General features: G+C 42.6%; 1 protein-coding gene across 35 annotated transcripts in view; it reads right to left on the bottom strand.

Moving 5' to 3' along the window:
• ARHGAP26 (Rho GTPase activating protein 26) overlaps window positions 1-13,511 on the bottom strand; it is a 458,635-nt gene that overhangs the window by 60,574 nt on the left and 384,550 nt on the right. For 2 of the 35 annotated variants that reach the window (XM_017009250.3, XM_047416988.1), the window contains exon 21: window positions 2,341-2,411. The exons of the other annotated variants lie outside the window; for them this stretch is intronic. In XM_017009250.3, the coding sequence (XP_016864739.2) occupies window positions 2,351-2,411 (61 nt within the window). In that variant the 3' untranslated portion in view covers window positions 2,341-2,350. Of the gene's footprint in view, window positions 1-2,340; window positions 2,412-13,511 lie in introns of those variants that run through there. 35 annotated transcript variants of the gene reach the window in all.

Here is a 13,511-nt window from a genome sequence, read left to right as displayed (position 1 = left end):
GATGGTGAGGTCTATTTGACTATGAAGCAAAGCTGTGATGAAAATAGGGAACGTCTCAGGCAAGTCAATTACATGAAATAAATTGACAAAAGATGTTGCATCAGGAGCCAGCTAGCATGGAATTCTGGAATGGGAAGACAACATTACTAGGCTTCCCCAGCTTTAGTGTCTGAAGAGGTAAAAAGCATATTGACACAAGAAAACAAAACAATTGTAATATTACAGATGAGAAGCATATGTTCAAAGTTAACTATGAGCAGCTCCCCACATGTGCCCTGTATGATCTTGCCTCTGAGCCTTTTCCCACTGTTTGCTGTCTAAATCCAACCTATCCTCAAGATGCATGTTCAAGTGCCAATTTGATCACAAAGCCTTCCTTGATCATCCCAGTTCAAAGTCATCTCTCTTGCCTAGGAATTCCAGCAGCACTTTATCCTGTAGCACCTAGACCATTCAATACAAGTACTTTATGTTTCTGTTATTTCTCATCGTGAAGGGCACGATCCCCTGTAACTCATCTTTAATGTGTTTACATATTGAAGACATTCAGAAAAATCTGTTGAATGGCAGAGAGAGTTAAAAAAAAGCTCAAAAAATGCTTCCACTATCTCTTGTCAGTTTCTCTTTGCACATTGGAATGGCTGCAGCTGAACTTTCTATATGTGATGGAGAACACGGCTGCTGGATATTCTGGTAGGCAAGACAAATTCTTAACCCAGCACCAGTTAAAACAAAACAAAAAAATCCATGAAAATATTATGGTTGGCCTGGCTTAGTCATGCGCTTGCCCCCATACTATTACCATCTCTAGGTCTTAAGGAATTGTGATACACAATCTACATCATTGATGAACAACTCTACAAACAAATGAAATGTAATCATTTGAGCGCCCCTATTCTTATTACAAACAATGGATTTCTTTTTTTTTTTTTTTTTTTTTTTTTTTTTTTTTTTTGAGATGGAGTCTTGCTCTGTCATGCAGGCTGGAGTGCAGTGGTGTGATCTCAGCTCACTGTAACCTCTTCCCCCCCGGGTTCAAGTGATTCTCATGTCTCAGCCTCCCGAGTAGCTGGGATTACAGGCGCATGCCATCAGGCCCAGCTAATTTTTTTTTTTTTTTTTTTTTTTTTAAAGTAGAGATGAGGTTTCAACAATGCTGGCCAGGCTGGTCTCAAACTCTTGACCTCAAGTGATCCACCCACCTTGGCCTCCGAACATGCTGACATTACAAGCATGGGCCACCGTGCCAGGTGAACCAAAGGAAACCTTTCTAAAACACGGCACACATTTTTCTACCTTCAAAGACAGAATATATCAAATGCAATTTACTTGAGGTGAGAAAATTATAAAAATCAATACTGTCTTGTGCTGTTATACAGTTGTGACCAAAGAAGCTGCTGCTGGATTTGAAGGGTAGCTAGTTCTTTATCCAGACCTTTGTATTATTACAGCTTTTATGACTTCAGAAAAAGTTCTTCTGGACTTTGCCTCATCAGCAATTATTAACTTTCTATTCTGTGAATGTAACCACCTTTTGTGGTATGACTGTTACTCCCAAAATACTGGATGGCAGAAAGCCAAGGAGCCAAGTTTGTTGTAATTGTCTGCAAAAGGTATGTCCTGGACTTGGCAGTCTTCGAACGTGCTCTACCTTCAGTTCCTGCTGAAAGGTTGGTAACCCAGTTCACTGTGGCTACAGATGATTAAACTGTAGAATCCCCTGCCTCAAGGTCTCCAGTCCATAGATGCTTTCCCTCAGGGCTGGATGGCAGAGAATTTAGCAAAGCAGCAGGTGAAATTCTAAGGAGAATGAGGCTATGAAAGCACTGGGGCTGTCAGGGGTCATGGCAATCCAAAGCTAAAAGGAAGCAGAAGCTGTGAGGGAGAGTAAAGCCCAGGCACAGAATGGTGGGAAAGAATAAGCCAGAGGGGAGCACTGAGAAGCAGCAACTGGATGTAGAGAGGCCAACACACCAAGTAGCTAAATGGTGGTCATGTGGAGCCAAAAGAGCCACTCCACTCCATTCTGGTCCTCGCCTTCCTCCAAGTGGCTCCACCTCCTTATAGTTCCTGCTCTGCCTGGACCCCAAAGCCCTAAGCAGCCTCTCCTGGATTCCTGGTCTGGGCTTCCTGCCCACACTCCCTCAGTCACCCTGATCTGAGGGTGTCCAACAGGTCTAGAGAGCTGATGAAATTGTGGGCTCTTCCGGCTACTCAGAGAGCTTTTGTGTTCACTGCCAGCTACGTACATGGGGTTGTTCTAGATGAGTTAGGGGAAGGGCGTGTGTTATTCTTTAATTGAGATATGACTGGAACCCAGAGGGCAGCCTCCCTTCTCACCTTGTGCCCATCACGAAGCAGGACTCTGCACCTCAGTACAACCCTCCAAACACATTCCAAATCCCCAGTGCCTGTTAAAAGAGCAACGATGACCATAATTACGGCAGGTAACTTTTACTGAGCCCTGATTATGAGCCAGAAGCCATGCAAAGTGCTCTACATGAACTATTTCATTTCATCCTAACAACCCTAGGAGGTAGATACTACTACTGTTTCCATTTAACAGATGAGGCTTATAGAGGGCAAGGAACTGTTCGTCGTACTCAGAAATAGAAAATCAAACACTACATGTTTTCACTTATAAGCAGGGAATAAATAATACACATCATGCACATAAAGATAGAAATGACAGACACTGGGGATTCCAAAAGTGGGGAGGGTCGGTGGGGTGATGACTAAAGAATTACCCATTGGGTACAACGTTCATTATTGGGTGATGGGTACATTAGAAGCCCAGTCCTCATAACATCACACAATATACCCACGTAACAAACCTACACATGTACTTCCTGAATCTAAAATAAATTTTAAAAAGGAAGTGATCATTGTAAAACAACTAATAAAGTTGGGATGTGAACTCTTCAGTAAATCTGCCCCCAGAACCCAAGCTCTTAATACTGTGGAAGACTGAAGAATGAGGGAGTGGTTCTTACCGAAGCCCGCATGAGGTGACATGGACGAGGATTCACATTATGCACCGTGTACAAGAAAGTCCATTAAACTTCCTTTTAGATATTTCTGTTCCCCAAAGTTCCTCCCTCACTGACAACACCCTCATCTCTCCTCCCTCTTCCCCACCCAGCCTCCAAAAACCCCAACCTGTATGTTCCACTCAACAAAACCAGTGCAGGGCCCCTAGGGGCCCTGATTCGACCCCAGCTTTGCACAGATACACACTCAGGTTTCACAGCTTCAGCATGCAACCAGGCCAGCCCCATGGTGATGTGTAAAAAGCAACCTTGAAAAGATCATATCCTCTCCAGAGGAAAAGAGCCATCTTCCTAGTTCGGCACACGGGCCAGCTCAGCTGAGCAGAGATGGTGTTTTCTTTCTCTTACTTACTACAAATTCTTGGATTTCTATATGAATCCGAAGTAAAGCAAAGCATAGGGCTGTGGCAGCATACAAATAGGGTTCTACATGAAATCACATTGCTCTTCTCTTTTGAGGCCCGACACACTGATTATATATTCAGATTCTAGATGAGGGTCTTAGGTTTCTGTCGAACATTTTTGTACATAGAGACCTAATTCTTCCTGAGGTGTGCCAAGGCCAGTGGGTTACACTGGGAACTTGCTTACACAAAGTGAACCAAAAATGATGACTAAGGCAGAAAGCTGGCTCTGAGTTTCATCAGGAACACTCAGGTTATGGCTAACAGCGCTCTCTATGCTCCAATTCAGAGCTAGCTATAGTCAAAATACCAACTCAACACAGGTTTTATTAACCCTCCCTTTGTAATGCCACTGGAGTTGGCATACTAGTGAAAAGAATAAACTCCTGGAGGCGGAAGAAGAGCTGCTAGTAGAAGGGTAGAAAAATCAGCCATGGATGCAAAGAAAAATACAGCAAAAAGAGTCTCATTCTTTGAAATGATGAACCAGGGCACTTGCTTGTGGGCATCTAACCTAATTGATTCAAGCTGAAATTAAAGGCAGAACTTAATAACTTAATAACTGGCTTGTAAGGAAGAGGAAATTTAATTTAGAATTTCCTTATAGACAAAGAAACAGAAAAGAGAGCCCTCATACCTATACAGAGATTTGGGTATTGCATGAAAATTTGATAGTAAAACTTCCCCTGACCCATGGCAAGGCACAGTCTCTCTTCACTTATTTTTTCCTGGTTACATTGATTCAGGGTTTAAAGAACTACTCATTCTCAAAACTTTCCTTTTCCATATAAGGTCAGAAAATAATCCTTCAAGATATGAACTAAATTTTATTTTAATAGGATATTTGATATACTGCATTATATAAGAAATTGTTACAAATTTTTGCCCACTACAAATATTAGTAAACTGCTAGATGTTTGGGAGAAAAAAAAAAAAAAGAACAAATACAACCTAAAGATAAAGTCTCTTGTTGCAATGGGGTGGGGAGGACTTCAAAAATGCAACACATGCAAATGATCAAATTGCAGCTTTTCATTCTTTGTGATATTTTTTCCTTTCTATGTCATTCTTATAGTCCAAATTTTAAGTTTTCTTGAAATCTAAAACATTAGAGCCATAGAGGTCTCAGTGGGAAAAAAACAAAAAATTGGGGACATAGCTTGGTAGGGTCTGAGAGGTAGGAAGCCTCCTGGAGAACAAGAGAAAAAAGATGGATCATAAAACTAGAACTCTGGCCAGGCATGGTGGCTCATGCCTGTAATCCCAGCACTTTGGGAGACCGAGGTGGATGGATCACCAGAGGTCAGGAGTTCGAGACCAGCCTGGCCAACATGGTGAAACCCCGTCTCTACTGAAAATACAAAAATTAGCTGGGTGTGGTGGTGCACCCCTGTAATCCCAGCTACTTGGGAGGCTGAGGCAGAAGAGTCGCTTGAACCCAGGAGGCAAAGGTTGCAGTGAGCCAAGATCGCACCATTGCACTCGAGCCTGGGCAACAGAGCAAGACTCCATCTTAAAAAAACAAACAAACAAACAAACAAACAAACAAACCTAGAACTCCTTCTACCCAACTCACAGCAATAAGACCAAGGCAGATGAGGAAATTATACACTTCAAGGCAGATCTAGAAAACGAACTAGGGAAATTATTGGAAACCCTGCCTACAATTGCCAAGATCCTTCATTCAACCATAAATATTTTTGAGTAAATGACCCAACTGCTCACTTACCACTTAAAATGTATCTTGCATTGGCAGCAATGCTCCCCCACATACGTAGATCTGATCTCCCTCATCTGAGCAGCAGCAAGGAGAGTATATTTTAGTCTTTTTCACAGTGCCTCGAATAGTGTCTTTTTCTTTTTCTTTTTAAGATGAGGTCTTACTGTGTCACCCAGGCTGGAGTGCAGTGGTGCAATCACAGCTCATGGCAGCCTTGACCTTTTGAACTCAAACAATCCTCCCCTCAGCCTCCCAAGTAGATGGGACCACAGGCGCATACCACCACACTCAGCTAACTTTTTTTTTTTAATAGAGATGGTATGTCATGTTGTCCAGGCTGGTCTTAAATTCCTGGGCTCAAGTGATCTTTCTGAAGTGCTGAGATTACAGGTGTGGGCCACTGTACCCTGGAATAGTGTCTTAAACACTAAGCATTCAATGCGTGTTTGCTCACTGACTGGGAAGGGACTGTCTGTCAGAGCTGGCCGATTCTGGATGCTGATATTAGTGAGTGCTCCAGAGAGCAGTTAGGCTACAGTAGCAAATATTCAACAGTTGGTGCCATACTCCAAAGGGAAACATTAGATGAAAATAAGTTTGCGTTCCACTGAGGCTGAAGGGGAAAGCGGGCAGTAAGGGCAATTGGTGGGTGTTTATTTCCTCATATGAAATGAAATGTTTGTAGTCTTCTCTTGGGATAATGCAGAGTCTGACTGCTGTCTGGGATGATTACCTTGGCCATGGCCATCACTAACATGTAGATCTTGTCTCTATTGGATTAGCATGTCCAGGATTCCCATGACTCCACTTCTTGATTTCTGATTTCTTGCCAGTTTATTTTCACTGTGACAACTGAACATTTTAAGTGCTGTCATGGGATGACTAAGGACATATTTCCTCTAATTCTACTTCCACGCAAAGGATCAAGGGAAAAATGGGAAAGGGGATTGCGTGTGTGTGTGTGTGTGTGTGTGTGTGTATGTGTGTGTTTGGGAGTAGAGTGTCTGTTTCTCCTCCAGAAGAAGCAGAGTTATATGGAGCTCCTACCATGCTACCATGAGGTCTATGCTGTAAGGCACAGTATATGGATGCTACAGAGGGGATGCAGGCTTCCCCCGAGACAGAGCAGAAGCCAACACATTCATTTGAAGAAATCTCTCTTGTGCTTCAGCTTTGGATTTACCAACCTTCCAGCAGCATTGCGCAAGTCAAAGTGCTGGAGTTAGTGGGCTTTACTCATCTTTGTCTGTGACGTCTGATATGATGACAGACTTGCCAATTTCATTCTCCTTTTCTATCTCAGGGCCATCATCCTTAAATTCTAGTCTGCAAGTTTCACCTACTTAAGTTTTTGAAGGTTTTCAATACAGTGGTAAACAAAATAGACTGAACAGGGCTTTCCAATTTGCTCGAAACCCAGAATGATTTCTATCTCACTGCTTTGGTAACTACAAAACAAAACAAAAAGCCTCTTTTTAGCATAATCACAAACAATATCACTTCTACCCTTACAACAGAAGCTGAAAAGGATTATAAAATTACTAAAATGTCCCAATTTTCATTAGCACAAAGCAGGTGATCTTATTGTCCTACAGGCAGGGGATGGTGACAAATATGGGTGATTTAAGCAGTAAGTCTGAGCTTACCAGGGCAACTGCTAATTATTATTGAGTAACTCTAGTATATCTCCATAAAGGTCAGGAGTTAAGGTTTTTCCATTATATATTCTGCTTTAAAATGGAGCTTTCAAAGGAAATTGGGTAGATAGCAGATGGAGAATGACAGATGAAGATCAGGTGAAAGAACTATATATAGCTCAACATAATTGAACTACTTACATTTCACAATGTTGGTTGGGGGCTGGAGGAGGAGTTCATGAGTAGCTGCTCAATGTTAACATTGACTTTCTGGTTTCTTAAGTTAGGGCTCCCTAATTTTAATAGGAAATCTGAGGCCGGGTGCAGTGGCTCATGCCTGTAATCCCTGCACTTTGGGAGGCCAAGACGGGTGGATCACCTGAGGTCAGGAGTTTGAAACCAGTCTGGCCAACACGGTAAAACCCCGTCTCTGCTAAAAATACAACAGTTAGCCAGGTGTGGTGCTGCGTGCCTGTAATCCCAGCTACTCATGAGGCTGAGGCATGAGAATCACTTGAAACTAGGAGGTGGAGGTTGCAGTGAATTGAGATCGCTCCACTGCACTCCAGCCTGAGCAACAAGGTAAGAGACTCCATCTCAAAAAAAAAAAAAAAAAAAAAAATCTGAAATAGCCCAGAGGCTGGGGTCTAACTGGTTCTACTCAGCTTCCTGAGCGAGAGCTCAGTTAACTCCATATGTGATTTCTTCTGCTGTGCCAACAGTTACCACTTACTACACTGACACAGAGCCCTGGGCGAGGCCAGCCTGGAGAGAGGGAGCCATTTGGCCATTGATGGAATGATTCAATGACCAATGGCCTTAATTTCATTTTCACTTAAAATATACCAGGCCAGGCACAATGACTCACACCTGTAATCCCAGCACTTTGGGATGCCGAGGTGGGAGGATCTCTTGCATCCAGGGGACTAGCCTGGGCGACATAGCAAGACCCCATCTCTACAAAAAATAAAAAATTAGCTGGGTATGGTGGCACATGCCTGGGACTATCCAGCTACTCAGGAGCTAAGGTGGAAGGATCGCTTGAGCCTAAGAGGTTGAGGCTGCAGTGAGCTGTGATTGCACCACTGAACTCAGCCTGGGAAACAGAGTGAGACCCTGTCTAAAAAGAAAAAAAAAGAAAGAAAAAAAAACCACCAAAAGCAACAACTTCTTGGTAAAGGCCTTACTCTTCTGTCAAATAGCATCTCATTTAGACTCCTAGCTATTGAGGTAACACAAAAAAGTTTAAGGTTAAAAAGAAAAATCTTGGCCAGGCATGGTGGCTCATGCCTGTAATCCCAGCACTTTGGGAGGCTGAGGCAGGTGGATCGTGAGGTCAGGAGATTGAGACCATCCTGGCTAACACGGTGAAACTCCATCTCTACTAAAAATAAAAAAAATTAGCAAGGTGTGGTGGCGGGCACCTGTAGTCCCAGCTATTCAGGAGGCTGAGGCAGGAGAATGGTGTGAACCCAGGAGGCAGAGCTTGCAGTGAGCCGAGATTGCACCACTGCACTCCAGCCTGGGTGACAGAGCGAGACTCCGTCTCAAAAAAAAAAAAAAAAAGAAAAATCTTTTCTCACTAAGACATGTTCCAAAGCTTTAAGAGAATGAATGAATGGTCATTTCAAAACCAAGCAAATGTATTTCTGAGTTTTTGAAGCTAAACAATCAATGCACACACATGTAAAAAAAAAAAAAATCCCATACCACAAGAGGGTAGTGTTAAAATGAAAAGGCAGTGTTCCTTCCGCCACAGATCACCATCCCATCTGCCTCCTTCAGGGAAAACCACACAGATTCATTCCCCTGTATCTTCCCAGAAATATTACAGATATTACACCCACCCATGTGTGTCTATAAATCCTGTGTCTATATCCCTGGATTCTTATATAAAATAGTATCATATAATGTACACTGATGGTTTTCAAATCTAGATGCATATCAAAATCACTTGGGAGGCTTCAGAAACATACCACCACTCAGACCCTACATCAGATCAGTTAACTCTGAGGCTCCAGGGAAGGGGCCTAGATGTTGGTAATTTTTATTTTAGGCTCCCCATGTGGTGCTGATGTGCCATCTGGACTGAGAGTCACAGCTGCACACTGTCCTGCACCATTTTTTCCCCCTTTAATGTGCCTTTGAAGGCAGCTCTAGACCAGCACATACAGAACTACCTAATTCCTCTGTTGTACTGGATAGTACTCAACTCTACTATTTATTTAGGCCGTCCTTTATTGATAGCTATTCCTGCTGTTTCCACTCTTTGGACATCATTAATTTGCCTCTCCAGACACAATCTTTACCCTGATCTCTTCTCTGGGATCTAACCAGCATGGATTTCTTCAACAGGGCTTTTGCAACCTCGGGCTTCCTGTTGGGTTCACCAATGGGGAGCTCTTTAGACTAGCAGGGGGAAGGAGACGGCCAAGGCATTTATTCCATTTCTGAAAGGTCTGGCTGTGTCCCTTGACTGAAGGTCACTGCTCCTGTCAAGACACCAACTCATATATCCTTCTGGGTTCCTGTACCACTTTCCTCTCATGTTCTCTCAGCTAAGGGTGGTGACTGGGCAGCAGCTGCTAGCCCTGGCTTACTCTACTATCTCTTGTGATTCCTCGGCACCAACTCTTTTGTTAATAAACCCTCCTTGAGTTATGTTATTTTGAATGCACCAAAGTTTCTTCTTAGGATCCTAATACATCAACCTTGAATGAACACCTTTGCCTTTGTTTGTTTGTTTGTTTGTGGACAATAACATCTTGGTTTTCCCTGAAGACAAGGCTTCTCCTGTATAGGGCAACAAGAGGTAATAGGGTAGTCTGTAATGCAGCTATTTTATCCCTTTTCTGAGTATTTTTGACAACAGCCAGGGAATAGCCCCATCACCAGCTGCCTTTACTTCATAAAGAATATTAGAAGGAACATTAAAGCAATGTCTTAGTGAGAACTCCACTGCTTCCTTGTGAAGGAAGGTGATAGATATTAGAAGAGAATTTGATAGTGCAAATGCAGTGAATGACTAAGATGCTACATTTCCAGATAATTTTTTTTTCAGAAGCTCTTTTCCCTTTTGCCATAATGACAGTCAAATCAACACAGAGTCCTAGGCTGGAGAGGAATTCCTGAGGCTAAATTCTTCCCCAGTGGAGAGTTGAGATTGCAATTAGTTTCTAGCCTAATCAGCGTAGTTTCCAGTTGGCTCCACCCAACGGAGGAACAATAGGGTAGGGGGCTTTGACCAACGCTCTTTGTGTAAACAGTTCGATGCCTGTCTTGGAAGAGGAGCACTTCTATTGATTTCAGTGTATTTTATTATTTATAGTTAATTTAATTTGGGGTATTTTAATTCCTTTTTAAAATTATATCAATGTTTTTAATCTGGGTTGCTTTATGTTACATCAGGATCAAACAAATAAACAAAAGTAAACATTGAGTGTCCATCCACTGCCACCACGGAAAGAAATCAACACTAGGGGTTTGTTCATTGGTAGGGGGAGCAGTCTGAGAGCAAATAAGAAGAAGGAATAAAAATAATAGTAGAAACCAATTTTTATTGATTGGTTTTATTGATTGATACTCTGAACGAGGCCATTTACTAAGTGTTAGGAAGGCATTATCTTATAACCTTGAAAGTAGGTATTATTATTATTGCTACCATTTCACTGAAGAGGTTTAGCTTAGAGATAGCAAATAACTTTCCCAAGTTTACACAGTTAGGAAATGGCAGAGCTGAGGCTTGACCCTGGTAGATCCACAATCAGGCCACACAGGCTTTGCCCTGCCCCAGATTCTAAAGCTTACCAATGCTTTTCACGTGATATAACCCTATAACCCATTTCAGTCTTCGGAAAGCTATTTGTGGCCATACACTTATATATAAACAAAATCTCTGTTCTCTGAAAGGATCTCTACCATAGTAATGCCATCCATTATGAGAAATACATTTTCCCCCCTCAAAAGTAGAATGTCGATTTAGAATAGCATTTCCCAAACCATGGAATGCTCTTTCAAGAGGCTTAAGAGAAGTGCTGTAGAAATCATGTACTATGGTCAACGTATTTAGGAAATGTAGCGTAAGAGATGCCCCTTCAAGATGGACATATTAAAGGCTCAGAAGTTCTCTAGTCAATAATTTGTTGAACTGGCCAGGCATGGTGGCTCACGCCTGTAGTCCCAGCATTTTGGGAGGCTGAGGCAGGTGGATCACTTGAGGTCAGGAGTTCAAGACCAGCCTGGCCAACATGGTGAAACGCTGTCTCTGCCAAAACATATAAAAATTAGCTGGATGTGGAGGTGTGCACCTGTAGTCCCAGCTACTTGGGAGGCTGAGGTGGGAGAATTGCTTGAACCCAGGATGTGGAGGTTGCAGTGGGCTAAGATTACACCACTGACCTCCAGCCTGGATGACAGAGTGAGACTCTGTCTCGAGAAAAAAAAAAAAAAAAAAAGAAAGAATGTGTTGAACTTAGTCCAAAGCAGCTCTTGCCCCCTTCCCTTCCTGTACCAGTTTGGGAAATGCTGATTTAGACATCTCTAATCTGTCCACGCCGATGCTCATCCATCACCTTCAGTATCACATAGCCTGAGAGCTATTTTTCTGTCAATACCAGCATCTTGATCTTTTCATGTTACACACACAATAGATAAACAATAAAAACATCTACTGGCTTGATTAATTGATGCACCCACCCTGTCTTGATTTGTAACCAACAGGCACGCATTTGCGAAGCAGCTGACTGGGCTTTTGGGGGGAGATGGAAAGTGCAGCCCTGGTGAGCTAATAGGTTCCTGTGAAAAGCAAACCCATCCCTCCTCAGCTATATAAGCTGTGACTGATCCCAAAGGCCACGGGCAGAGCTCAGTTAAGCCCCAGTACTGTCATCACTGCACAGACAATCATAGGGTGCTGGTGATGACACAGGCTTGGCCCTGAGAGCTTTACACTGAGGTAAGTCCTGATTTTATTCTGGTGGAAGTCCATGAGCTTAACGCACTAGATCACTATGCACTATGGCTCTCAGACTTGAGCATGTATCAGAATCATCTGCAGGGTTTGGTAAAACACAGATTGCAGGGCCCTCCTTCCAGAATATGCTGATCCTATAGGTCTAGGGTGAGGCCTGAGATTCTGTAGATCTAACAGGCTCCCAGGTAACACCAATGATGCTGGTCCCAGGACCACACTCTGAGAACCAGTGCACAGAGCTAAGGGTCTGCCTTGGAAGACCAGTGTAACAGAGACCAAATGAAGCCTATGGTTGATCCTGCCTGGCTTTCCAGATCCCTAATGCAGAGAAGGAGTTAAAAACAAGATTCTAAGGCTGTTTCCAACTAGGAATGCTTTCCTAGCTAAGTAAGCATCTGCTTTCCAGATTGACTAAAAAAGGTTTCAAAAGCAGTACTTGAACTCTAATGTACTTTTAATTTACCCAATTTAGAATCTGAATCTACGAATAAGATCCCTCAGATTAAATACACAGAGGTAGAAACAATTCTAATCTAATCCTAAATAAGAAAAATAACACTTTAGATTTCCTTCAAAGTTCCCTCACAGGCATAACAATGTTGAAAAAGCCATGCGAAATCTTAAGCCTATTTCCTTCCCAAATATTCTACCAAAAATTTGAGATTTAAAATGCCTAACACTTACACAAATAAAATACAGTGTCATAAGGCATTTGAGGGCAGCTAAATTCAAAATGAAATTCAGTCATTCATACCTTTAATTAAACTCCAAAGCTTTAAGCATGTACTGTGTATGTCAGGGCAATTTTTGGAAACTGTTTTAGGTTATTTAGCAAGATTTATAAGTTTATAGAAAAAATACAGACCCTTTATATGATTTTAGCTTGTACAGGAGAAAAGAACAGAACAATATGTGTAAAGGAAAACATTTTTCCATTTGTGATTTCCACTCTGCTGGAAAACAGGGATGTGGCTAGGCATTCAAACGGCGCTCTGCCCTTACCTCCTCCCATACCCCCTCTGCTGACAGGCTGTAGAGATCCAAGTGCCACCGATGGGTCCCTGGTGCTTGGGAAAGAAACCCTGCTGGGTCACCAAGTGTGAGGTCTGTCTCAAGCAATTTTTATATTTTAAAAAAGAAGAACCACCACTAATAACCAACACATTTATCTCATAAAAATTGGATGAAGGCAGGAATTTCCACCCTCAACCAAGGGAAGCCCAGCTGGGCTCCCGATTGATGAGTGAGATCTTGCTTAGGGAAAGAGAAAAGTGGACATGAAGCCACTCAGAAAATGGGTCACACCAGTAACAAACTGAAAATGTCAAGGAAACGTGGCCTAGTTACAGGGCAGAGCTGTGGCCTCCACAGCCCAGGAGCCTGAGGTGACAGAGGGAGGGTATCTGGCATGTCCAAGAAACAACAATGAACGAGTAAGTAAGCTGGAATCCCCAAGGGCACTGTGGGGAGCAAGGAGGGGCAAATGAATCCTTTTGAAAACAATGAGGCGTTCAGGTTATTTCCAAAGGTGGGGAATGTCACCAACTTTTCAGGCAAATCGGTCTGAAGAGATCTTTTCTGCTTGGAGGTGGGTGAGAAACAGAATTCTCCATCTAAAAGGAAAGATCCTTCTCCACAAAAAGTTGATCCAGCCACAGAGGAAAACTTCCTCTTTCAAAGCCCCACATTCCAAAGGATGACAAATAGAGACAATTCTAGTAAAAGCAT

Source organism: Homo sapiens, chromosome 5 (assembly GCF_000001405.40).
Source record: "Homo sapiens chromosome 5, GRCh38.p14 Primary Assembly".
Taxonomy (NCBI): Eukaryota; Metazoa; Chordata; class Mammalia; order Primates; family Hominidae; genus Homo; species Homo sapiens.
This window is presented reverse-complemented; position numbering and strand designations above follow the sequence as displayed.